This window comes from Homo sapiens, chromosome 5 (genome assembly GCF_000001405.40).
Source record: "Homo sapiens chromosome 5, GRCh38.p14 Primary Assembly".
NCBI lineage: Eukaryota > Metazoa > Chordata > Mammalia > Primates > Hominidae > Homo > Homo sapiens.
In genome coordinates, this window is record NC_000005.10 from 150,527,734 (window position 1) to 150,550,491 (window position 22,758).

General features: G+C 50.8%; 1 protein-coding gene and 1 non-coding gene across 3 annotated transcripts in view, besides 6 other annotated features; one reads left to right on the forward strand and one right to left on the reverse strand.

Moving 5' to 3' along the window:
* NDST1 (N-deacetylase and N-sulfotransferase 1) overlaps positions 1 to 22,758 on the forward strand; it is a 60,433-nt gene that overhangs the window by 29,955 nt on the left and 7,720 nt on the right. Inside the window, exons 3-13 of one of the 2 annotated variants that reach the window (NM_001543.5) lie at positions 71 to 565; positions 5,212 to 5,299; positions 7,134 to 7,288; positions 7,967 to 8,152; positions 11,495 to 11,623; positions 12,349 to 12,531; positions 13,837 to 13,933; positions 15,115 to 15,238; positions 17,579 to 17,753; positions 20,485 to 20,655; positions 21,945 to 22,054. In NM_001543.5, coding sequence (NP_001534.1) covers positions 71 to 565; positions 5,212 to 5,299; positions 7,134 to 7,288; positions 7,967 to 8,152; positions 11,495 to 11,623; positions 12,349 to 12,531; positions 13,837 to 13,933; positions 15,115 to 15,238; positions 17,579 to 17,753; positions 20,485 to 20,655; positions 21,945 to 22,054 — 1,913 coding nt within the window. The remainder of the gene's footprint in view (positions 1 to 70; positions 566 to 5,211; positions 5,300 to 7,133; positions 7,289 to 7,966; positions 8,153 to 11,494; positions 11,624 to 12,348; positions 12,532 to 13,836; positions 13,934 to 15,114; positions 15,239 to 17,578; positions 17,754 to 20,484; positions 20,656 to 21,944; positions 22,055 to 22,758) is intronic. The other variant, NM_001301063.2, reaches the window with a different exon arrangement.
* Positions 9,406 to 10,178: an enhancer, noted in NCBI's record as "NANOG-H3K27ac-H3K4me1 hESC enhancer chr5:149916701-149917473 (GRCh37/hg19 assembly coordinates)". NCBI's record gives its function as "activates a minimal SCP1, AML or CMV promoter by ChIP-STARR-seq in naive H9 embryonic stem cells {active_cell/tissue: H9 hESC(naive)}" and the evidence as "EXISTENCE:reporter gene assay evidence [ECO:0000049][PMID:30033119]".
* Positions 12,456 to 12,955: an enhancer, noted in NCBI's record as "H3K4me1 hESC enhancer chr5:149919751-149920250 (GRCh37/hg19 assembly coordinates)". NCBI's record gives its function as "activates a minimal SCP1, AML or CMV promoter by ChIP-STARR-seq in naive H9 embryonic stem cells {active_cell/tissue: H9 hESC(naive)}" and the evidence as "EXISTENCE:reporter gene assay evidence [ECO:0000049][PMID:30033119]".
* Positions 15,254 to 15,548: an enhancer, noted in NCBI's record as "tiled region #2793; HepG2 Activating DNase matched - State 5:Enh". NCBI's record gives its function as "activates a minimal TATA promoter and a strong SV40 promoter by Sharpr-MPRA in HepG2 cells {active_cell/tissue: HepG2}" and the evidence as "EXISTENCE:reporter gene assay evidence [ECO:0000049][PMID:27701403]".
* Positions 15,254 to 15,548: a silencer, noted in NCBI's record as "tiled region #2793; K562 Repressive non-DNase unmatched - State 17:Gen3'". NCBI's record gives its function as "weakly represses a minimal TATA promoter and a strong SV40 promoter by Sharpr-MPRA in K562 cells {active_cell/tissue: K562}" and the evidence as "EXISTENCE:reporter gene assay evidence [ECO:0000049][PMID:27701403]".
* LOC124901211 (small nucleolar RNA U13) lies at positions 15,857 to 15,956 on the reverse strand. Its single transcript, XR_007059175.1, has one exon. It is a non-coding gene; the product is annotated as a small nucleolar RNA U13 (small nucleolar RNA).
* Positions 17,191 to 17,310: a silencer, noted in NCBI's record as "silent region_16512". NCBI's record gives its function as "represses an Ori minimal core promoter by ATAC-STARR-seq in GM12878 lymphoblastoid cells {active_cell/tissue: GM12878}" and the evidence as "EXISTENCE:reporter gene assay evidence [ECO:0000049][PMID:35858748]".
* Positions 18,744 to 19,259: an enhancer, noted in NCBI's record as "H3K4me1 hESC enhancer chr5:149926039-149926554 (GRCh37/hg19 assembly coordinates)". NCBI's record gives its function as "activates a minimal SCP1, AML or CMV promoter by ChIP-STARR-seq in primed H9 embryonic stem cells {active_cell/tissue: H9 hESC(primed)}" and the evidence as "EXISTENCE:reporter gene assay evidence [ECO:0000049][PMID:30033119]".

A 22,758-nucleotide genomic window follows, 5' to 3' on the forward strand; every position in this document is an offset into this window, starting at 1 on the left:
GAGAGACTGTGTCCTTTGGGGTTCTGGATGTGACAGTTCTGTTCCCCTTCCTGCCCTCCATTGACTGCAGGCCAATGAGAACAGCCTGCTGAGTGCGCAGCTCAAGGGCTTCCCCCTGTTCCTGCACTCAAACCTGGGCCTGAAGGACTGCAGCATCAACCCCAAGTCCCCGCTGCTCTACGTGACGCGACCTAGCGAGGTGGAGAAAGGTGTGCTCCCCGGCGAGGACTGGACGGTTTTCCAGTCAAATCACTCCACCTATGAGCCAGTGCTGCTGGCCAAGACGCGCTCGTCTGAGTCCATCCCACACCTGGGCGCAGACGCCGGCCTGCATGCTGCACTGCACGCCACTGTGGTCCAGGACCTGGGCCTGCACGACGGCATCCAGCGCGTGCTGTTTGGCAACAACCTGAACTTCTGGCTGCACAAGCTTGTCTTCGTGGATGCCGTGGCCTTCCTCACGGGGAAGCGCCTCTCCCTGCCATTGGACCGCTACATCCTGGTGGACATTGATGACATCTTCGTGGGCAAGGAGGGCACACGCATGAAGGTGGAGGACGTGAAGGTATGGCCGGGGGTGCTAGACCGGGCAAGGCAGGTGGGGCCTGGCAAGCTTCAGCCTTCAGGTGCCCCATCGTGGGTGTGCCCTGTCTGCATCTCCCCTATGCTGGGAGTTACTTAAAAGACAGTCCCACTCTGCTTCCTGTCCTGCCAGTTGGTTCTTATTAATTGTCTTATTAGAAGCAAGTATCATTTAAAACTTGATTGAAGCATTGGCCAGGTGTGGTGGCTCACACCTGTAATCCCAGCACTTTGGGAGGCTGAGGTAGGCGGATCACTTGAGGTCAGGAGTTTGAGACCAGCCTGGCCAACACAGCGAAACCCCATCTCTACTAAAAATACAAAAAAAAATTAGCCAGGTGTGGTGGCGTATGCCTGTCATCCTGGCTACACAGGAGGCTGAGGCAGGAGAATCGCTTGAACCCAGGAGGTGGAGGTTGCAGTGAGCCGAGATTGTGCCACTGCACTCCAGCCTGGGTGACAGAGCAAGACTCTGTCTCAAAAAAATTAAAAAAATAAAACTTTATTGTATTGAAGTATTGAATATGAGGAATTTTGCATCTGGAATGTGGAGTTTAAGTTTGTATAATATGTATGGAAGAAGACATCCAGACAAAGATGGGAGCTGTACAATGCTGTTTGTCTGCCTTTAATTTAAATATGATTTTTAACTCTTAAAAATGTTTATGTTAATGTCAGAGCGCCTACAAAACTCTTAAAATAAGGATGAGAGCTTGAATCATGCATGAGGCAGATTTTAACTGAGGTGTAAGTAGACAGTGGAATGCATGTGTTTAATTCAAAAAAGGTTTGCTGGCCGGGTGTGGTGGCTTGTGCTTGTAATCCCAGCACTTTGAGAAGCCAAGGGAGGAGGATTGCTTGAGCCCAGGAGTTTGAGACCAGCTTGAGCAACATAAGGAGACCTTGTCTCTACAAAAAATAAAACATTAGCTGGGTGTGGTGGTAGTAGTCCTGTAGTCCTAGCTATCTGGGAGGCTGAGGCAGGAGGATTGCTTGAGCTTGGGAGGTTGAGGCTGCAGTGAGCCATGACTGTGCATGGCATTCCAGCCTGGGCCACAGAGCAAGACCCTGTCTCAAAAAAAAAAAAAAAAAAAAAAAGTTTTTACTAAACAAAACTGTGTAAAAGTACTTTGCAGACCACAAGATTTTACACACATGTGAACTGTCATTGTGAGAAACAGCCTACAAATTAAGACCATTAAACAATCTTTAAAATACAGTTTTCATCTACTCACTATTTTATTTAAACTTATTCGCAAAGGAGATGGCATCCTAGTGTAAATAGGAAATCCGGATCAGTTGCCATAAATAGAGGGCAACCATAACAATAAATCCAATGAAAACAAAACAGGGGGATTAAATTCTAGAGACATTCTGCTGCCTGCTGACAGCCTGTCCTCTCTTATAGGAGATTAGCAAGTGTTAGAAACATATTAGCACCAAACCCAGGCTTGTCTTTGATGTTAGCAGGAGGCTTTAAAAAGAGACTTGTAAGAGGAATTCTGAAATCTCTGGTAGGGGTTGGCCCTGGGGCCTGGAAGGAGGGTCCTGGTGGCATTCATCGCCCTGCCTTGGTCAGGAGTGAACTTTGCTCTTCCTTACACCTCTAGAGAAGAGCAGAATGGATGACATTCGGGAGCAGGCACTGTCTGGGGAGTTAAGACCTAATTTGAATCGAGTCCTAATTTGACCCTAATGAACTAGGTGACTTGGGCAGGTCCCCTCCCATGCCTGAGCCTCAGCTATAAAATGATGAAATGGGGTGAATGGGAAGTTTTCAGGCTATTTCCTGGTGCCCAGGGGTCTCCCATAGGTGCCTGGATAGCTGGGGTGGGGGTTAGGGGGATGTTTTGGTGCCAGGCTCAGCCCTCCAGGCTCCACCTTAGTTGCTCCAGCGGTGCTGCTTTGCGCTGCTTTTACGCATTGTGTTTCCTCCTGAAATTCCATTCTCTTAAAGGCTCTCCTGTTTAAAGAACGTTTTAGCCTTCCAGTCTAAGTCTTCATGCAGTGCCACCACCTGCCTCTGGCAAGGTAGATTGCTCTGTGTTCTACTCGAGGTGTTCTTCCAGTGGCCCAAGCTCATTTTCTCCTGCAGGAACCCAGGTTCTTGCTGTCTGTCCAGTGAGTTCTGGAGAGACTGTGGTCCAGGGTCAGGTTGAGCCTGAGGAGATCAGGTTCCTGGGCTCACTGTGTTCCTATAAGCCCTGAATTTCTCTCTCTTATTAATTTTCCGTATTTTAAATTTTTTTTTTTTTTTTTTTTTTTTGAGATAGAGTCTTACTCTGCCACCCAGGCTGGAGTGCAGTGGCGGGATCACAGCTCACTTAAGTGATCCTAAGCACAAGCAATCCTCCCACCTCAGCCTCCTGAGTAGCTGGGATCACAGGCACATGCCACCATACCCAGCTTACCCAGCTAGTTTTTTGTAGAGCCCAGGTTTTGCCATATTGCCCAGGCCGATCTGGAACTCCTGGAGTCAAGTGCTGCACCCACCTTGGCCTCCCAAAGTGCTGGGTTTATGAGCATGAGCCACCGCACCTGGCCCTATTTTTTCTATTTTTAAAGTGAAAGGAATGATAGCAGTTTGAAGCCATTTCTATAGAACAATAGAAATAGAAAAATAGGATACAAACCAAAAATACAAATAGAGGCACCCTCTTTCACACACTCAGCTCAGTCCAGATTGCAAAGTGCTTCTCCAGCCACAATCCTACTTGCCTTAAACATTTTTGTGAATAAGAAAGGGCAGAGTTTTTTTTTTTTCTTTAATCCCAAGCACAGCCTACAACAGAGCCCTTCTTTCAGAGACATGAATGTCGCCTCATTAGCTTGTACAGTACTGGCTGTACAGCGCAATTTAAATAATACCAATAGCAGCTGCCTATTCAGGGCTTGGTGAGTCCTTGTGCTTAGCCCTTTCTGGCCGTTGCTTCATTGGGTCCTTACAGCAGCCCTGTGAGGTGGGTATTGTTCTGAGTCCCATTTAACAGAGGTGGGCACTGAGGCTCAGGGAGTTGAGGTAACTTGCCCAAGGCCACACAGCTGGAGCATGCACGTCCACCAGGCGGTGCACGGCCCTGGTAAGATGCTGATGGTGACTACATTGCCTGGGGAGGGCCAGGACTTTTAGTTTGTAAAGTGTTCTGATAGCTGGCTCTTACAGGTTTCTTTTTTCTTTTTCTCTCTTTTTTTTTTTTTTTTTGAGATGGAGTTTCATTCTTGTTGCCCAGGCTGGAGTGCAGTGACGTTATCTCGGCTCCTGCAACCTCCGCCTCCTGGGTTCAAGCAATTCTTCTGCCTCAGCCTCCCGAATAGCTGGGATTACAGGCGCCTGCCACCACACCTGGCTAATTTTGTATTTTTAGTAGAGACAGGGTTTCACCATGTTGGTCAGGCTGGTTTTGAACTCCTGACCTCAGGTGATCTGCCTGCCTCAGCCTCCCAGGGTGCTGGGATTACAGGCATGAGCCACTGCACCTGGCGGCTCTTACAGGTTTCTGAGCTGCTTTGTGGCTCGTGTGTCCTAACCCCAGAGTACACCTGTGTGTTTGTTTCACAAGTGTCAGTGTCCCCTCATTGACTCGAAGAGTACTGGGTGCACGGTGCGCGGGAAGACCGCATTGCTGGGCACACAGTGTCCCATCCTTGGAAAGGGTATGGCCCTTTAAAGTCAGCACTGCATTCCATCAGCAAAGAGAAATCCTCCACATTTGATAGATGAAGACACAGGCTTACAGCGGCAGTGACCACAGACGTAGCATTGGCCACCATTTTTCATCACTTACCAGATGTGAGGCAGTTTTACGTACAATATCTTTTTTACAATTGTTTAATCTTTTTAGAGCAGGGTCTTACAGTTGGACCTGTGTTGGATTCTAACTGCTGGGCTCAAGCAATCCTCCTGCCTTAGCCTCCCGAATAGCTGGCATACATGCGGTTATCTTACTTGATTCTTCCAAGAGCCTTATGAGGGAGATATTATCATCCCTGTTTTACATTTGATGAAACCAAGGCCTAGAGGAATGTGAAGCCTTTTCAAGGACACATAGCAGAGCTGGGTAGGATTCTAGATTTTCCCTTGCCAGAGGCCTGGCGGACGGCAGCATAGGGCTGGTTTCAAGAGTATGTGATCTGTGCAGCCACACAGAGCCCCACGCTCAGAGGGAGCCCATTATGTGGTTTAATGCCTGCTGTTGCCTTCTTGACATTCTTTTTTTTTTGAGACGGAATCTCGCTCTGTCACCCAGGCTGGAGTGATCTTGGCTCCAGTGGTGCGATCTCGGCTCACTGCACCTCCGCCTCCCGGGTTCAAGCGATTCTCCTGCCTCAGCTTCCCAAGTAGCTGGGATTACAGGCTCGTGCCACCATGCCCGGCTAATTTTTGTATTTCCAGTAGAGACTGGGTTTTGCCATGTTGGCCAGGCTGGTCTTGAACTCCTGACCTCAAGTGATCCACCCACCTCAGCTTCCCAAACTGCTGGGATTACAGGCATGAGCCACCACGCCGTCCTTGACATTCTTTATAATTTTTGAACAAGGGATTTCCACGTTTTTTCACTGCCCTCAGTGGGAAAAGCAGGGAGCTCCTGGCTTTCCCTCACTCATTCCTTTCTCCCCTGCCTGTCCTAGGCCCTGTTTGACACACAGAACGAACTACGCGCACACATCCCAAACTTCACCTTCAACCTGGGCTACTCAGGGAAATTCTTCCACACAGGTAAGTGGGCCTGCCCCTGCCCTCACTAGCAACTTCCAGGACTCCTCAGCACCCAAACCCTCAAAGCACCCATCCATGAGGGCAGCGGGTGGGTTTACTGGCCCACATTAGAGGCAGAGGTGACCCCTCTGCCCCCGTGGAGCCAACAGCCTACAAGAGCAGTCACAACCCAGGCAGAGGCCATCTGGGGACAACAGCAGCGGCAGCAACAGCAGCCGCTTGTCCCTCCCTGTCCTTTCGGGCTGAGCTGGCCTGGGTGGGGCATCTTCTCCCTCTTGCCTCTCCCTCCTATCTTTTACAATTATGTGTATTATTTCTGCTTATAAAAGAAGCTGGTTGAGTTTTAAGAACATTACAGAAACATGTAGCATAGAAAGTGAAGATGCCCTGTAATTGTACCCACCTTGGATGACCAGTGTCATGGGTTTATTTTAGAGTCCTAAGGGTTGAGGGTGAGGGCTATAGGTTGCTTGGTGCGCACTTTCCTTCCTCTTTGGGGCTCTCTCACTTGCTGTCCTCTCTTCATCTGCTGTCCTTCAGGGACTGGGCAGAACCCCTCAGCTGGTCATCTGCAGTGACCATTCCCCCTAGCTGCCTTCTGCCCAGGCCTCAGTGAGACAACCTCTCTTGAATTCTAAGAAAACCATTTATTCAATAATTCAGCAGATGGAGGGGTATATGCAACATAGCCCCAAAGCCAAATAGGAGTGATCCTGGGTTGTCTGTCTGTATTTTTTATATTCTTTTTAAAATTTTTTATATATTTTTGGCTGGGCGCTGTGGCTCACGCCTGTAATCCCAGCACTTTGGGAGGGTGAGGTGGGCATATTATTTGAGGTCAGGAGTTCAGGACTACCTTGGTCAACATGGCAAAACCCCATCTCTACAAAAAATAGAAAAAATAGCCCGGCGTGGTGGTGTGCTCCTGTAGTATCAGCTACTTGGGAGGCTAAGTCAGGAGGATTGCTTGATCCCAGGAGTTCAAGGCTGCAGTGAGCTATGATCGCACAACTGTACTCCTGCCTGGGTGACAGAGTAAGACTCCATCTCAAAACAAAAAGAAAAAAAATTATTTATTTTTAGAGACGGGACCTCTCTCTGTCACCCAGGCAGGAGTACAGTGGTGCAATCACAGCTTACTGCAGCCTTGAACTCCTGGGATCAAGCAATCCTCCTGCCTTAGCCTCCCAAGTAGCAGGTACTACAGGTGCATGCCACTATGCCTGGCTATTAATATTTTAAAAATTTTTGTAGAGATGGGGCCTTGCACTATGTTGCCTAGGCTGGTCTCAAACCTCTAGGCTCAAACGATCCTCCCACCTTGGCCTTCCAAAGTGCTGGGGTTTCAAGTGTGAACCACTGCACCTGGTTGTTTTTTATATTCATAACCCTTAGCATATCAGAGGTGGTTATAGTAATATGTCTGAGATAGAGGGTCAAACATCCTGTATATATACAAAGAGCTTCCATAGATAATTAGATAAAAGACAAGTGACCTGATTTGGATCATTGGAATAGAATCAGAGCAGGTATGTCAGAGGTAGAAGAAACCCTTGAGATCATTGACTCCAGACCCTGAATTGTGCAGATGGTCCCAAGGATCTAGAGAGCAGATAGTCTTGGCCAAGGTCCCCCACTGAGTCAAGGGCACACTCTAGACTAGAATTCAGGGCTCTGGGCTGGGGCTCTGTCTGCTCCTGTGCTGTAGCCCAGATAACTCTTCCAGGCAGCTCCTGGGTGGGCTCTGGCCATGCTCTCCCATCCCCAGGCACAGGCCCAGGTTAGAGGGCCTCATGGCCCAGTGGGTGGTTCTGAGCTGCCTGTGTTGCTGCAGGTACCAATGCTGAGGACGCTGGGGATGATCTGCTGCTGTCGTATGTGAAGGAGTTCTGGTGGTTCCCCCACATGTGGAGCCACATGCAGCCCCACCTTTTCCACAACCAGTCCGTGTTGGCCGAGCAGATGGCCTTGAACAAGAAGTTCGCTGTCGTGAGTAAGATTCCTTGCAGGGCAGAGCGGGGCGGGCTAAGGGCTGGGCTGGAGGTCCAGACTGCTGGCCTCTTGCTGCTTTTGCAGTCTGCTCTGACGGATTTTTACTAACACCTCTGGGCCAGGGCCAAGGGAGAGCTGCCTTTATAGCCACTGTCTCCTTGAAGCCCCAAGAGAATAACCCCTTTACAGACAAGAAACCAAGGCTCAGGGAGGTCACACCAGCTACTAAGAGGTCCAGCTGGGACTTAAACTCAGGCCATTTGTTTCCTGTGCCCAAGCTCTTACTAGAAGGGGAGGCTCTGGAAAGCTGGAAGAGGTGGTCAATGAGGAGGGAACGAGCCCTAGGTGCTAGGTAGAATGAAGAGAAGGTAGGAAAGGCCCTCGTCCTTGTCCCTCACTACAGGGTACTTGAGTCCTTTGTGCTAGAGGCATGTGCACCGGACCAAGAGTCAGGAGACCTGGGTTCTAATCCCAGCTCTGCCAGTTGCCCACACTGAGATTCTGGGCACATTCCTTGCCCTCCCAGGCCTCAGCTTCCCATCTTACCATGAAGTCTCAGACCAGCAGCCATGCCGACCTAACCTCTGATTTCTCTCTCCCATTCTACAAAGGGGGGATAAGGCCCAAAGGGGAAGGACCCCTATGCTCACCCTGGCCTGGTCATCCTCTCCCTAGGAGCATGGCATTCCCACAGACATGGGGTATGCAGTGGCGCCCCACCACTCGGGCGTGTACCCCGTGCACGTGCAGCTGTACGAGGCTTGGAAGCAGGTGTGGAGCATCCGCGTGACCAGCACGGAGGAGTACCCCCACCTGAAGCCAGCCCGCTACCGCCGTGGCTTCATCCACAATGGCATCATGGTGAGTGGGCCCCTGGAAGCCCAGGAGGTGGGAGAATGGAGAGCACAGTCTGTCATGTGTGTGCATACGCTGTCCTGGTAAGCACGGCTCTGGTTTGCTGGCTTAGGGGTTGCAGATCAGCTTCTGCTGCCTCCTCTGGCACCCGAGGCTCTCTGCCCCAGGGAAGGTGGGCTGCCACTCCGACCCCTTTCATGAGCTCTTTCTTAGCTTTTGTGACAGAGGATCAAGCAATAATCAGCATTCTTGAAAGAGGTTTCTGATGAGGATGTGGGACAGGGCTCTGTTACAGTCTTTTTGCTGATTAAAAATTTTTTTCTTGGCTGGGCCTGATGGCTCACACCTGTAATCCTAGCACTTTGGGAGGCCAAGGCAGGCAGATTGCTTGAGCCTAGGAGTTTCATACCAGCCTGGGCAATGTAGTGAAACCCCATCTCTACTAAAAAAGTACTAAAAAAAAAATATGCCTGGTGATTAGCCAGGTGTGGTGGTGCATGCCTGTAGTCCCAGCTACTTGCAGGGCTGAGGCAGGAGGATCACTTGAACCTGGGAGATCGAGGCTGCAGTGAGCCAAGATTGCGCCACTGCACTCCAGCCTAGGTGACAAAGTGAGACTCTGTCTCAAAAAAAAAAAAAATTTTTTTTTCCCCTGGGGCTTCTACCATGCATCTATCCCTTTTTTTTTCTTTCTTTCTTCTTTTTTGAGACAGAGTTTCACTCTTATCTAGGCTGGAGTGCAATGGCACAATCTCAGCTCACTGCAACCTCTGCCTCCTGGGTTCAAGCAATTCTCCTGCTTCAGCCTCCCGAGTAGCTGGGAAGACAGGCATACACCACCATGCCTGGATAATTTTGTATTTTTAGTTGAGACAGGGTTTCTCCATGTTGGTCAGGCTGGTCTCGAACTCCCAACCTCAGGGGATCTGCCCACCTTGGCCTCCCAAAGTGCCAGGAATTACAGGCGTGAGCCACTGTGCCCAGCCTCACATCTATCCCTTTCCTTGGCACTGGGGACACAGAAATGCACAGAACGGAGGAAAGTTCCTGCCCTTGTAGACCTGACATTCTAGTGGCAGGAGACAGACCATATGCTCATGCATGTGTGTTGTGGGAAGTCAGGGACCCCGAACAGAGGGACTGGCTGAAGCCATGGCAGAAGAACATAAATTGTGAAGATTTCATGGACATTTATCGCTTCCCCAATCAATACTCTTGTGATTTCCTATGCCTGTCTTTACTTTAATCTCTTAATCCCGTCATCTTCATAAGCTGAGGATGAATGTCGTCTCAGGACCCTGTGATGATTGTGTTAACTGCACAAATTGTTTAAACAATATGAAATCTGGGAACCTTGAAAAAAGAACAGGATAACAGCGATGTTCAGGGAACAAGGGAGATAACCTTAAAGTCTGGCTGCCTGTGGGCCAGGTGGAACAGAGCCATATTTCTCTTCTTTCAAAAGCAAATAGGAGAAATATCGCTGAATTCTTTTTCTCAGCAAGAAACATCCCTAAGAAGAGAATGCGTTCCCAAGAGGAGGTCTCTGAAATGGCCGCTTTGGGAACGTTTGTCTTTTACAGTTGTTGATAAGGGATGAAATAAGCCCCGGTCTCCCATAGCGCTCCCAGGCTTATTAGGACAAGGAAGTTCCCACCTAACAAATTTTGGTCAGACTGGTTGTCTGCTCTCAAACCCTGTCTGCTGATAAGATGTTATCAATGACAATGTGTGCCCGAAACTTCATTAGCAATTTTAATTTCGCCCCGTCCTGTGATCTCGCCCTGCCTCCATTTGCTTTGTGATATTTTATTACATTGGGAAGCATGTGATCTCTGTGACCCACACCCTATTCGTACGCTCCCTCCCCTTTCGAAAATCACTAATAAAAACTTGCTGGTTTTGTGACTTGGGGGTCATCACAGGACCTGCCAACATGTGACATCTCCCCTGGACACCCAGCTTTAAAATTTCTCTCTTCTGTACTCTTTCCCTTTATTTCTCAGACTGACAGACACTTAGGGAAAATAGAAAAGGACCCATGCTGAATATCGGGGGTTGGTTTCCCCCAATACATGTGTAAAATATACAGTGGTCAGATGGTGATGAGTGCCACGGACAAAGTTAAGCAGGGAATGGAAGGAAGGAATGCTGGCAAGAGAAGCTGGTTTAAATAAGGTGGCTAGGTGGGCCTTCCTGGAATAAGCCACGCTGCCACATGAGGAAGAGCACTCAAGGCAGAGAACACAAGTGCAAAGGCCCTGAAGCGGGCTGTGCTGGCTGTGTTTGAAGGCCAAATAGGAGGCCGGGATGGCTGGAGGGGAGTGAGGGATGGTGGTAGATGAGGTCGGGGTGGGTGATGGACCAGATCGATAGGGCCATGTAAGGCCAGCCATTGGATGGCCATGGGCTTTTAGGCTGAGATGGGAAGGTTTTGAATGGAGCATGATCTGACTCATCTTTGAAAGGGATTTCTATCATTCTGGCTGTTGTGTGGAGCAGAGACTGTAGGGGACAAAAGTGGCAGCAGGGAGACCAGTTAGGAGGCACTGCAGTCTTCCAGACCAGAGGTGGCAGCAGCTTGGACCAGGGCCCAATGTTGGGATGTGGCCATACTCTGGGCTTAGAATAGTTAGGCCTGTGGTTAGATGAGTTAGATATAGGGTGTGGGAGGAAGAGAGGAGTCCAAGATGACTGCAGGGTTTTTAGTCTGAGGTGCTGGAAGGATGAGTTGTCATCAGTTGAGCTGGGGCAGCAGTGGGTAGGCAAGGTTTGTACATTTGTCCATCAGTCCATCCATCCATCCACTGACCTCAGCACCAGGCCCTCGTGCTGAACTCCAGGCACTCCTTTAGGTCCTCAACCCTGAACTCCAGGGATGAGGTGGTGACAAGGCAGGCCCATTCCCTGCTCCCTTGGAGCTCACAGTTTCATGAGGGGAGACAGACGACAAATGGCTAAGCCAGTGTGTGACAACGAGTGTCACCAGGTGAGGTTCTAATGTTGCAAGGGGGCTTGCAGAACATGTCTGGGATTGCTGCTTCAGAGAGGGCCAGGCAGGGGCCGTGGCTGCAGCAGTCCCAAGTTTCCAGAAACATTCCCACTCTGTTACTTTGAGGCCTGCTCATTTTGTGCAGAGAATAGCAGTGAAGTTTGTAAAATGGCAAGGGCCTGTAGTTCACTGGGGGGAACGCTGTGCTGTAGGCTGCACCCAAGGGTAGGGGCTGTGCGACCACATGGAGACTGCCTTTCTGAGGAGCAGCTGGGCCTTCTTCCTCTGAGGAAGAGTCCTCCCACCACCCTCATGCCAGAAGGCACCATAGCTCCTCTCCCCCACCCCCTCCTCAGGTTCTCCCACGGCAGACCTGCGGCCTCTTCACACACACCATCTTCTACAACGAGTACCCTGGCGGCTCCAGTGAGCTGGACAAGATCATCAACGGGGGCGAGCTCTTCCTCACCGTGCTCCTCAATCCTGTGAGTGCTCCACAGCCCATGGCTGCTGGTGAGAAGGGGCTGCTGCACAGCCTGTCTGCAGCTGACACAGGCTTCCTGGAGCCAGGAAAGGGTGGAGAGGCATGAGTGAGTGCCTGGCAGTTGGGAGACCCACTCTCCAGCACTGGCCCTGCCTCGGCTGTGTGACCTTGGCTAAAGAATCCGAGCATGCTTTTTTTTTCCTTTCCTAATCATGTACTTTAATACAAAAGTGTTGGCATTTTTATGCATGTTCCCTTCAGTCTTTGCTCATGTGTGTATACACACATACACAGATACACACACATATATGAACAACATTTGAGTTTTCTAGGTCTCGCTTTCCTTATTTGTAAAATGCAAACAATTACCTCTGCTTTAATAATATTAAATAAACTTCAAGTGGTGGTTGTTATTCAGCTCTGTGGGCTGAGTACTCTTTATCTTCCATGCACCCCACCCCTAACATTTACAAAATAAAACCCAAATAGCTCCCACATTGGGTCTGCTTTCCATTTCAGGATTGTAATATTTGGGGTCAGTCAGGCCTGGTTCGTCTGTCACCTCATCCAAGTACTCGCAGCGAGTTTGTTGACAGCGCCAGCGTAACTTCCACTGGTCATCAGGAGCCTTGCAAGCTAAGGCAGGGTCAGAAGGGTCAGAGTTGGCGGTGAGGGTGGCTCAGACACTGATGGGCCCTGCCTCTCTCCTCCCCTCCCCTGGAGCAGATCAGCATCTTCATGACGCACCTGTCCAACTATGGGAATGACCGCCTGGGCCTGTACACCTTCAAGCACCTGGTGCGCTTCCTGCACTCCTGGACGAACCTCCGGCTGCAGACACTGCCCCCTGTGCAGTTGGCGCAGAAGTACTTCCAGATCTTCTCCGAGGAGAAGGACCCGCTCTGGCAGGTGGGGGGCTGGGCAGCCTGGGCAGGTTGCTACAGGGATGGAACGCCACCACTCACAGGCACACACTCCAGATATGGACTCAAGGCTCAGCCATCATGCCTTCACACTCTCGCTCGAATGTAAACTCAGGTCCCCATCTACTTACCAGCATGGGTGCGTTCACTCCTTTGCACACATGCATGCTCATACATGTACATACTTCCCCACGCAGACCTACATGCATGCAGTCATACATAGCCTTGGAAAAAACAGTGTTAAAAAAACGAGTGGGCTGGACGCAGTGGTTCACCCCTATAATCCCAATACTTTAGGAGGCCAAGGTGGCTGGATTGCTTGAACCCAGGAGTTCAAGATCAGCCTGGGCAATATGGCGAAACCCTGTCTCTACAAAAAATACAAAAATTAGCCGGGCATGATGGTGCGCATCTATAGTCCCAGCTACTCGTGAGGCAGAGGTGGGAGGATCAGTTGAGCCTAGAGGTTGAGGCTGCAGTGAGCTGTGATCACACCACTGTACTCCAGCCTGGGCAACAGAGTGAGACCCTGTTTCAAAAACAAAAAACAACTCCAAGTGAACACAGTGCAGACAAAGTACAGAAAGTGAATGCGTTGTCTTGGTCAGGCTCTTAGATAATCTCTTGTATCTCTTCTAACTCCAGCAGGCTCTGAGTGGGAAAAGGGATTGATGGGAGGGTTTGGGGGCCAGTTTTTGGGAAAGTCTGCTCCTACGGGCTTTTAAAAAGTGGAAGCAGAAGCTGGAATTGGTGACAGTCTCATAGTTCAGACCAGGAGTCCACAAACCGTGACTCATGGGCCAAAACCAGCCTGAGACCTGTTTTTGTAAAGAACGTTTTATTGGCAGACAGCCACGCTCATTCTTGTATCTACTGTCTATAGCTGCTTTCATGCTATGACGGCAGAGTCGAGTAGTTGCAATGGAAACTTCCATGCCCCAAACCTAAAATATTTACTAAACACTTACCAAAAGATTAATTAAACTTTATAGGAAGCGTTTCTTGACCCCCTGGTTCAGACGCAGCTTGTCCAGTTAAATTCAACAAGTGCTTATGAGTTCCTGTTACGTGCTAAGGGGCATTTTGCGAGCTCTTTGGGGGACATGAAACTGACCAGAAGTGGAGCCTGCCTGTCAGTGGCTCAGTGTCTGGGGGTGGGGATGTGACAAGGACACATGTAGCATGTAGGTATCATGCCCATTGGGCTGTAAGGGCCACATATCCATGTGCAGTGGGAGTCCACTGACTGGGTTCTGGGGCGCCCCACACATCCCTTCCACTGTTGTTTTAGGACCCCTGCGAGGACAAACGTCACAAAGACATCTGGTCCAAGGAGAAGACGTGTGACCGCTTCCCAAAGCTCCTCATCATCGGCCCCCAGAAAACAGGCAGGTCTCTCTGCTCTTGACCGAGCTTCCCCAACTGCCTGCTGTCTCAGCCACAGAATTCTGAGGACTGCCTTGCCCTGGCCCCACTCCCGGATAATTTGCTCCCTCTTTCCCAGGAAGTAGGAATGAAGTTGGGGTGAACACAAATTGCCTGTCAGTATGGAGGGGAAAGAGGTGGAGGAGGGGCCTGGAGTTCTCCTATTTATCCTGAACCATAGCCTCAGGGAGCTCTCCCTGCATTATCCTGGGAGTCTCCAAGTCCAGTCAGAGAAGCCCAGATCAGTTGCTCTGCTAGTTTGAGTAATGCCAAGCAAAACTGGTACAAAGAGGACTGTGATCAATTAGCTATGTCTGCCAGAGGTGCAGTAGGGAGAAGCAGTGACATGATTGCTAAGCATTTGTCATCCATACAACCCTGCAAGGCACAAATGGGCACTCCCATTTTGTAGACAGAAACTCAAGGTTCAGAGAAGTCAAGTGACTTCCCTTAACACATTCAGTTAGGCAATGGCAATTCCAGGCCTGAACTCTGATCTCTGTGACCCTGAAACATATACTCTTAATTGCCAAACTCTATAGCCTCCTTCTCTTCTGGGCTCTCTCATTATAGCATGTAAACCATAGACTTATACCACAGAAAGTGAATGAACTCACTGAGGAGGAGGTAGGGCAGGGTGCATGAGTGAGCAGAGGGTATTGGGAAGAAGAGACATAGGAACAAGATTTCTTAGTTCTTTAAGAATTTCACATTAACAGAACTGCAGGGTGACAAACTCCCTTTTCCCTGAGCTCCTACCAAGTGCCAGAGGACAGAGGCCCAGAGCTGGAAAGGACCAGCTCTTCTGGGATGCTGAGGGGACAGCAGTCAGTTAAACATGGCTACCAGAGTGCAGTGGTGAGGCAGATTCTGAGGCCACGTCCTCGTTTAGTGAAGAGTGCTGTGATAGATTAGCGATGTCCGTAGTAGGTACAGGAGTTGCGGTGTTCACATGCATGCCATATATTTGCCACCCTGGATTTAGTAATTCCTTCATTGCACAGATGAAGAAGCTAAGACCAGAGAAAGGCAGAGACCTTCCCAGGAGCCCCCAGTGGGTCGTGGGGAGCTAGGCCCAGAACCCAGACTCTATCTTTTGGCTGGGGGCTGGGCCCTGGGTCTCAGGTGTCTACCCTCCCCACAGGCACCACTGCCCTCTACCTGTTCCTGGGCATGCACCCTGACCTAAGCAGCAACTACCCCAGCTCTGAGACCTTTGAGGAGATCCAGTTTTTTAATGGCCACAACTATCACAAAGGCATCGACTGGTGAGTTGGCCTTTCTGTCCACAGCGGGACGGGAAGGCCATCCTGGGGCCTCCCAGGAGTCTGCTGTGGCCACAGCAGGAAGCAGCTGGAGCTTGCTCACACACAGCTGTCATTCCTGTAAACAGGGACAAAGTGCAGTGACCCTTGAATCATGGTGTGACAGCGTTGTCATAGACAGGACACTCGATGAGGAGGCCCTTTGCCCCTTTGCTCTACCGCCTGTAGTCAGACGCTGAGGTCGAAGTCCACCCCTCCCTTGCTTGCAGAGAAACATCCTGAGTCTTGGGGAGGAGAAGGGTTTGCCCAGGGTCCCAAGGTCGGAAATCCAAATGTTCTGGCTCTCCTCACTGCGTGTGGCTGACTGTGAAGCAGAGGTGTTCTTGTGGGCCCTTCAGGGACAGGTCGCTGGTCTTTGGGCGTCACTTGGGGAAGTCATTAAGATTGCCACTTCCCACCAGAGCCTGCAGAGGTTACCTTTGTAGAGGTTCCCAGCAGAGGGTCCTAGTAGAGGTTCCCTTAAGGGTGTGGGGGCCAGAGCAGAGATGGTTTTACTCTCCACCTTTTCAGTTGGCATCTTTCTCTATTTGCCTTTTTTCTTTCTTTTTAAAAAATGTTTCATGTCAGGTAGGTAATGTGCTGAGATCATAACAAGGTTCGAGGTGGGTACACCTCACACGTGTGTGAACACCCAATCATCACGTGCATGGACTGCAAAGTTTGCCTTTTTAAACCTTGTCCATGTATTACCATTATTTATTATTTTTATGTCAGTGGGTTCCCTGGGTGGAGAGGTTATGGGCCTTCTGTCTTTCTTTTTTTTTTTTTTGAGATGGAATCTCGCTCTGTCACCCAGGCTGCAGTGCAGTGGCGCGATCTCGGCTTACTGCAACCTCTGCTTCCCGGGTTCAAGTGATTCTCCTGCTTCAGCCTCCCAAGTAGCTGGGACTACAGGTGCCCGCCACCATGCCTGGCTAATTTTTGTATTTTTAGTAGAGACGAGGTTTTGCCATGTTGGTCAGGCTGGTCTTGAACTCCTGACCTCGTGATCTGCCCGCCTCGGCCTCCCAAAGTGCTGGGATTACGGCGTGCGCCACTGCGCCCGGCCCATCTACCTACATTTCTAACATCTCCACAGTCTCTTGTCTAAAATCTAGTGTGGTCAGATGAATTATTGGAAGTCAACATTTTTCAGGTTTTAGAAAGGTAATGTGGTGCGAAACCATATATTTAGTAACATCTTCAGCGACACCTGGGGCAGCACCCTGTTAGCAAATTCATTAATATGTCTGTAGCAAAGTATGTGAATATTTACACTAAGTAAGAGGAATAAGTCAGGTTTTGTTGCCAAATGGCTTTGCTACAAACCTAGGAAACAAAGCCTGTGTTTTCAAAGCTTTCTCAATTGAGATATTGTAAACAAAGGATTGTGGACATGCAAAGAAAATTCAGAAAGATGAGAGAAGACGTAATTCCTTGGCCCAATTCCCAAGAGCTTGATTTTGTAGGTAGGTCTAAAGTGGGGTGCAGGAATCCAGCAGGCCCCCAGAACGCTCTGATGAAGCACATCCTTGGGACCAGCCTGGATCAGCCCCACCTCACAGGATAGGATAGGGACCCTGTACCCTTCATGAGAGTGGACTTTGCTTCCCACAAGCCCCAGAAGTTGGACCCTGAGTTTGCATAGGTAGATTCCCCTGGGAGGGTCTGGAGTGTTCCTTTGGTTTCCAGAGGTTCCTTCATCCAGAGGTGGCCATTGCTCTGGTGGGATATGGGCATTAGTCTGGAAAGCCGTGCTCACCCACAGCAGGCTGGGGAGGGGTTGTGGGTAGCAGGAGGTCCTGGTCCACAGTGACGGCCTAGAAGGTGTTCCCCCAGGTCAGGAAAGAAAGTCCGCCCTCTGGAGGCCCCCTCTGCTCTGTGCCAGCCTCCCTGGGGCAGTCCTGGAGCCACTCTGAGCCCCAGCTCGCCCCCTAGAGGCAGAGAGAGTGACAGCCCTGGCAGTTAAGCCTGGAGCAGCTGAGGGGGCGGGATCCTAGAGTTTAGGATTGAGGGGCATTACCCCCTCCCCATGACCTGCAACTGCCGGCGCACCCACAAGTCTTCAGATCCTCCCAACTCCAGAGTCTTCTGGAAAAGGAACGAATTTGAAACAGGGAGGCTGCCAAGAGGCCATTCCCCTCCAGAATCCCCACTGGAGGCAAGTCCTTGTTTGGTTGGGAGCAAAGCTTCCCACTTGCTCTCTGAGGACATTCTACCCCAGTGCCTCGCCCTTGTGCTGCATTCCCTTAGCCCCCTCCTCATGAGTTTTGTCTGTGAGCCGCCTCTCTGGGCTTCCTGCAGGTACATGGAGTTCTTCCCCATCCCTTCCAACACCACCTCCGACTTCTACTTTGAGAAAAGCGCCAACTACTTTGATTCAGAAGTGGCGCCCCGGCGGGCAGCAGCCCTCTTGCCCAAAGCCAAGGTCCTGACCATCCTCATCAACCCCGCGGACCGGGCCTATTCCTGGTACCAGGTGAGTGGGGCTGGGGTGGAGTCCCTGTGTCGGGAACACAGGGCTCCGTCTGACACTCAGTTACTCACTCACTCAACAGATATTATTAGTAAGCACCTACTGTGTGCCAGCCCTGAGCCAGGCGCCTGGAGCGTGGTGATGGCTGAGAATAGAGTCCTTGGTGGAGGAGACAGGCGGAAATGGAAAGCCAGCCACCAGTTGACTGTCCACCTGCCTAGTGTCATGCGGGGTCCTGCCTCTACTTCTGACACTGACAAGAGGTGGAGGCTGGTTACGCCTAGAGGAAGCTTAGATTTGGTGAACAGCAATGCAGGATCATACTGACTATAGCTTCCTCGCTGGACACGGGTGGGAGTGGGAGCTCATGGAAGGACAAGACACAAGACTGCCATTCACAGTGGAGAAGGCAGGCACCTGACCAAGTGAGGCAGTTACCTGGGCTGTGATACATGGAGAGGGTGTGGATCCAAGCCCCTATCTGGGGCATGTATGAACCAGAGCTGTCTTTTTTTTTTTTTTTTTTTTTTTTGAGACAGAGTCTTGCTCTGTAGCCCAGGCTGGAGTGCAGTGGCCTGATCTCAACTCACTGCAACATCCGCCTTCCAGTTTGAAGTGATTCTCCTGCCTCAGCCTCCCAAGTAGCTGGTATTACAGGTGTGCACCACCACGCCAGGCTAATTTTTGTATTTTTAGTAGAGACAGGGTTTCACCATGTTGGCCAGGCTGGTCTCAAACTCCTGACCTCGTGATCTTCCCGCCTCGGCCTCTCAAAGTGCTGGCATTACAGGCATGAGCCACTGCGCCCAGCTGAACCAGAGCTCTCTTTAATGCCTATGGCCTGACTTAATTTCCTGCCTGCCAGCCCACTGAGCCTGCAGGAATGCTTTTAGGCCTTCCCTGGTGGGGTAGGCGGAGTCCCTCCCCTGGCTGCCAGCATTCCTGTGATTATGCCACACAGCCAAGCACTGTGATTCAGAAGTGGCGCCCCAGCAGAAAGCCACCCTGTTGTCCAGGCCGAGGTCCTGAGCATCCTCGTTAACCCAGCAGACCAGGCCTGTGCTTGGTGTTGGGGAGGGGGTGGGGCCCTGGGTCTTAGCCCATGGTTGCCAGAGAAGTGTCCCCTGTCCTGGCTGGGACAGCCTCTTCAGGCCTGGCCACTGTCATAGTTCCCACCCTGCTTTGAGGCTCTTTTCTCAGATGTGACAGTGGCTGTCTCCCGCCTGGGACCTTGCGGTCTCCCGCAGGGCTGGCACCTGCCTCCTCTTTGCTCCCATGGAAGTCTCTCCTCCTGCCACTCTCTGAGGCTGGTGAGGAAGCCCCTTCTTACTCTTGTTCTCTAGGGCTTCTGTTTATGCCCTGATGTCTGCTTTCCTGTGGCTTTTTCTTTAGGAGAAGAAAACCGAGAAACACTTGTCAAGTGTTTCTGTTTTCTGCCGTGCTGTGTGCCCCCGCCTCCTGGCGCTGTGCAGGGAATGGGCAGTCTGCTTTCATGGGGGAACGTAGGGTAGAGAGAGAGCCGCCACAGGTTGGGTCAGTCCCTGTTCTGCACTGACACTGCTGTACATCTGCACCTTACTGGAGAGTCACAGCTGGTTTCTAGAAGGCAGAGGAGGGGTTTCACGTTTGTGTCCCCTTCTCAAAGATTAGAAAACCAAGTTTCAGCAAGTTTCATGTGGTGGCATTTGAATCCAAGTCTTCTAAATCTAAGACCCTATTCCTTTTTCTGTCCATGATCAAGAGGGGTAAGGGATAGAAGGAGAAGGGAGACTCATTCTCCCCAGGAGGACCTGGGAAGATGTTGGAGGAGAGGAAGGGTGGGGGCCTGTCTCAGAAGGAGGTCGGGACGAGGAGGACGCTGCTGTGCACCATATTGCCCCAGCCCTGGGCTGTGTGTGATCCTCAGGGGAGGGGGTTGGCGGCTGGGGGATAGTGCCTGTCGCACAGGTGCCTGAGCTCTGGCTTTCTGGACTTAGTGAATTCTGCAGATTCGGACCTCCCATGGCATTATTTTAAGTGATTCAGACCAGCCAGTCTCCCTTTTATAGTTCTTTCCCAGTCCTTCTGATTTCCATAAAGGAGAAATGCTCACTTTAGTGCAAGTGGTCTTACGTCCTTTCTAACACTGTCAACCTCTGCTTTCAACAAAGAGAGCATGTTCAGGGCCTGTTGCACACATTTGTGTCTGGCTGGAGTTTGAGAACATTGTTTTTATTGCCATTTGTGAGTGGTTGCCTTCTATATATGACAACAGTGCAGCAGCGTGATCTTGGCTCACTGCAACCTCCACCCCCCGAGTTTAAGCGATTCTCGTGCCTCAGCCTTCCGAGTAGCTGGGACCACAGGTGTGCACCACCATGCCAGCTAATTTTTGTATTTTTAGTAGAGACGGGGTTTCGCCACATTGGCCAGCTGGTCTCGAACTCCTGACCTCAAGTGATCCACCCACCCCAGCCTCCCAAAATTCTGGGATTACAGGCATGAGCCACCATGCCTGGCATCAGGAAACCCTGATTTCGTCCAGTTCCCGTATTTCAAAGATGGAGAAGTTGGGGCTCTGGGACCAGTGGCTTCCCTTGACACTGGACACAGTGAGAGGCAGAGCCAGGACTCAGACCCAGAGCTCCTGGGTCCAGCTGAGGATCTTCTGGCCACCTTGCGGGCTGCTGTCCCTCTCAGGCCACTTCCTTTGTGTCCTCCAAGTGGCATGCTGACCCTCTTTCCTTGCCTGCAGCACCAGCGAGCCCATGACGACCCAGTGGCCCTAAAGTACACCTTCCATGAGGTGATTACCGCCGGCTCTGACGCATCCTCGAAGCTGCGTGCCCTCCAGAACCGCTGCCTGGTCCCTGGCTGGTACGCCACCCACATCGAGCGCTGGCTCAGTGCCTATCACGCCAACCAGGTAGCTGCTGTCCCTGACCCTTGTGAGGGCAGTCACAGTACTGGCTTGCTGTGGTTAGCGGAGAGCCTCCAACTCTTTCTCACCAGCCGTGGGGACAGATATGCCCTCCTTGGAGAGCTAGACCCTTGGGTCTATAAAAAGATTTTATTATTATTATTATTATTTTGAGACAGGGTCTCACTCTGTTGCCCAGGCTGGAGTGCAGTGGTGTGATCTCAGCTCACTATAGCCTCGATGTCCCGAGCTCACGCAATCCTTCCACCTCTGCCTCCTGAGTAGCTGGGACTACAGGTGTGAGCCACTGTACCCAGCTAATTTTATTTTTTTAAGAAATAAGGTCTTACTATGTTGCCCAGGCTGGTCTCAAACTCCTGGGCTCAAGCAGTCCTCCCTTGGTCTTCCAAAGTGCTGGGATTACAGGCATGAGCCACTGCACCTGGCCTAAAAAGACTGTAGACCTGTTTATCCCAAGGTTGATACATGAGAACTCCCCAAGCCTGTGTCCCATCACCACAGGCCCTGTAGCCCTAAAGGGACCCAGAAAGCCCTGAGGCAGGCAGGTGGGAGCAAGGAGACTGGGCGTGGTGATGGAGGGAGAGCCTGATCATACCAGGCTGTTTATGTATTTATTTATTTATTTAGAGACGGAGTCTCGCTCTGTCTCCCAGGCTGGAGTGCAGTGGCACGATCTTGGCTCACTGCAACCTCTGCCTCCCGGGTTCAAGCGTTTCTTCCACCTCAGCCTCCCAAGTAGCTGGAATTACAGGCATGCACCACCACGCCCAGATAATTTTTGTATTTTTAGTAGAGACGGGATTTCACCATGTTGGCCAGGCTGGTCTTGAACTCCTGACCTCAAGTCCTCTGCCCACCCCAGCATCCCAAAGTGCTGAGATTACAGGTGTGAGCCACCGTGCCCGGCCATGCCCAGCCATACCAGGCCTTTTAGGCAAACTTGCGGAGTGTTTGAGCAGGAGAGTGACATGGACTGGAAGCTCAGAGAGAGGCCAGAGAGGGATGTTTGTAGGGACCTGAGGGGCAGGCAGGGTTTGGTGAGAGCTTAAATTCTAGGAGAAATGGCATTGGGCAGCAGAAGCTGGTGGAAAGCAGGCGTGAGACCACAGAGGCCTGAGCTTGGGGATACCTGCCCTTCAACAGGGGAGGAGGAGCCAGTTCTAGAGGGTGCAGGGTCCCATATTTATAAGCAGGCCCATTCCTGCTGCCGTGGCTGTTGCCCTTGTTTGCCACCGAAGTCAAAGCAGGTCCCGATCCCCTTTCTCCCTTTCCAGATTCTGGTCTTGGATGGCAAACTGCTTCGCACAGAACCTGCCAAAGTGATGGACATGGTGCAGAAGTTCCTTGGGGTGACCAACACCATTGACTACCACAAAACCTTGGCGTGAGTGTTGCCTTTTCCTTTCTGCAGGTTATTTCCCTGATAAGGCACCTGGGCCAACAAAGCCAAAGTCTTGAATAATTATGAGAGAGAGAAGTTAGTTAGAGTCAGAAAGTATGGAAAGTTATTAATATGACTTAAGTCATATTAATAAAGGTATCACCTTAAAAAAAAGGGAGATGATGAATCTGTTCTACTCTGGTCAGACCATCCTGGGGTCTTCTCTTTGGTCTGGGCTGAACATTTTCAGAGTGTTTTATGTAAGTAAATTAGATCAGTAATGAGCAGCCCTAATTCCCACAAGATTTTCTTAGCATTAGCTTTTTTTTTTTTTTTTAGACAGGGTCACTCTGTTGCCCAGGCTGGAGTGCAGTGGTGTGATTTTGGCTCACTGCAACCTCAACCTCCCAGGCTCAAGTGATCCTCCCACCTCAGCTTCCCGAGTAGCTTGGGACCGCAGACATGTGCCACCATGCCTGGCTAATTTTTGTATGTTTTGTAGAGAAGGGGTTTCACCATGTTGCTCAGCCTGGTCTCGAATGATCTGCCTGCTTCAGCGTCCCAAAGTTCTGGGATTACAGGCATGAGGCACCGCCCCCAGCCAGCATTAGATTTTGACTTACGATTTCAGGAAAAGGAAACACAAATGTTGTTGACAGTTAATAACCGTACTCACTCAGAACCTGGTGCAAGTGCGTTGAGAATGC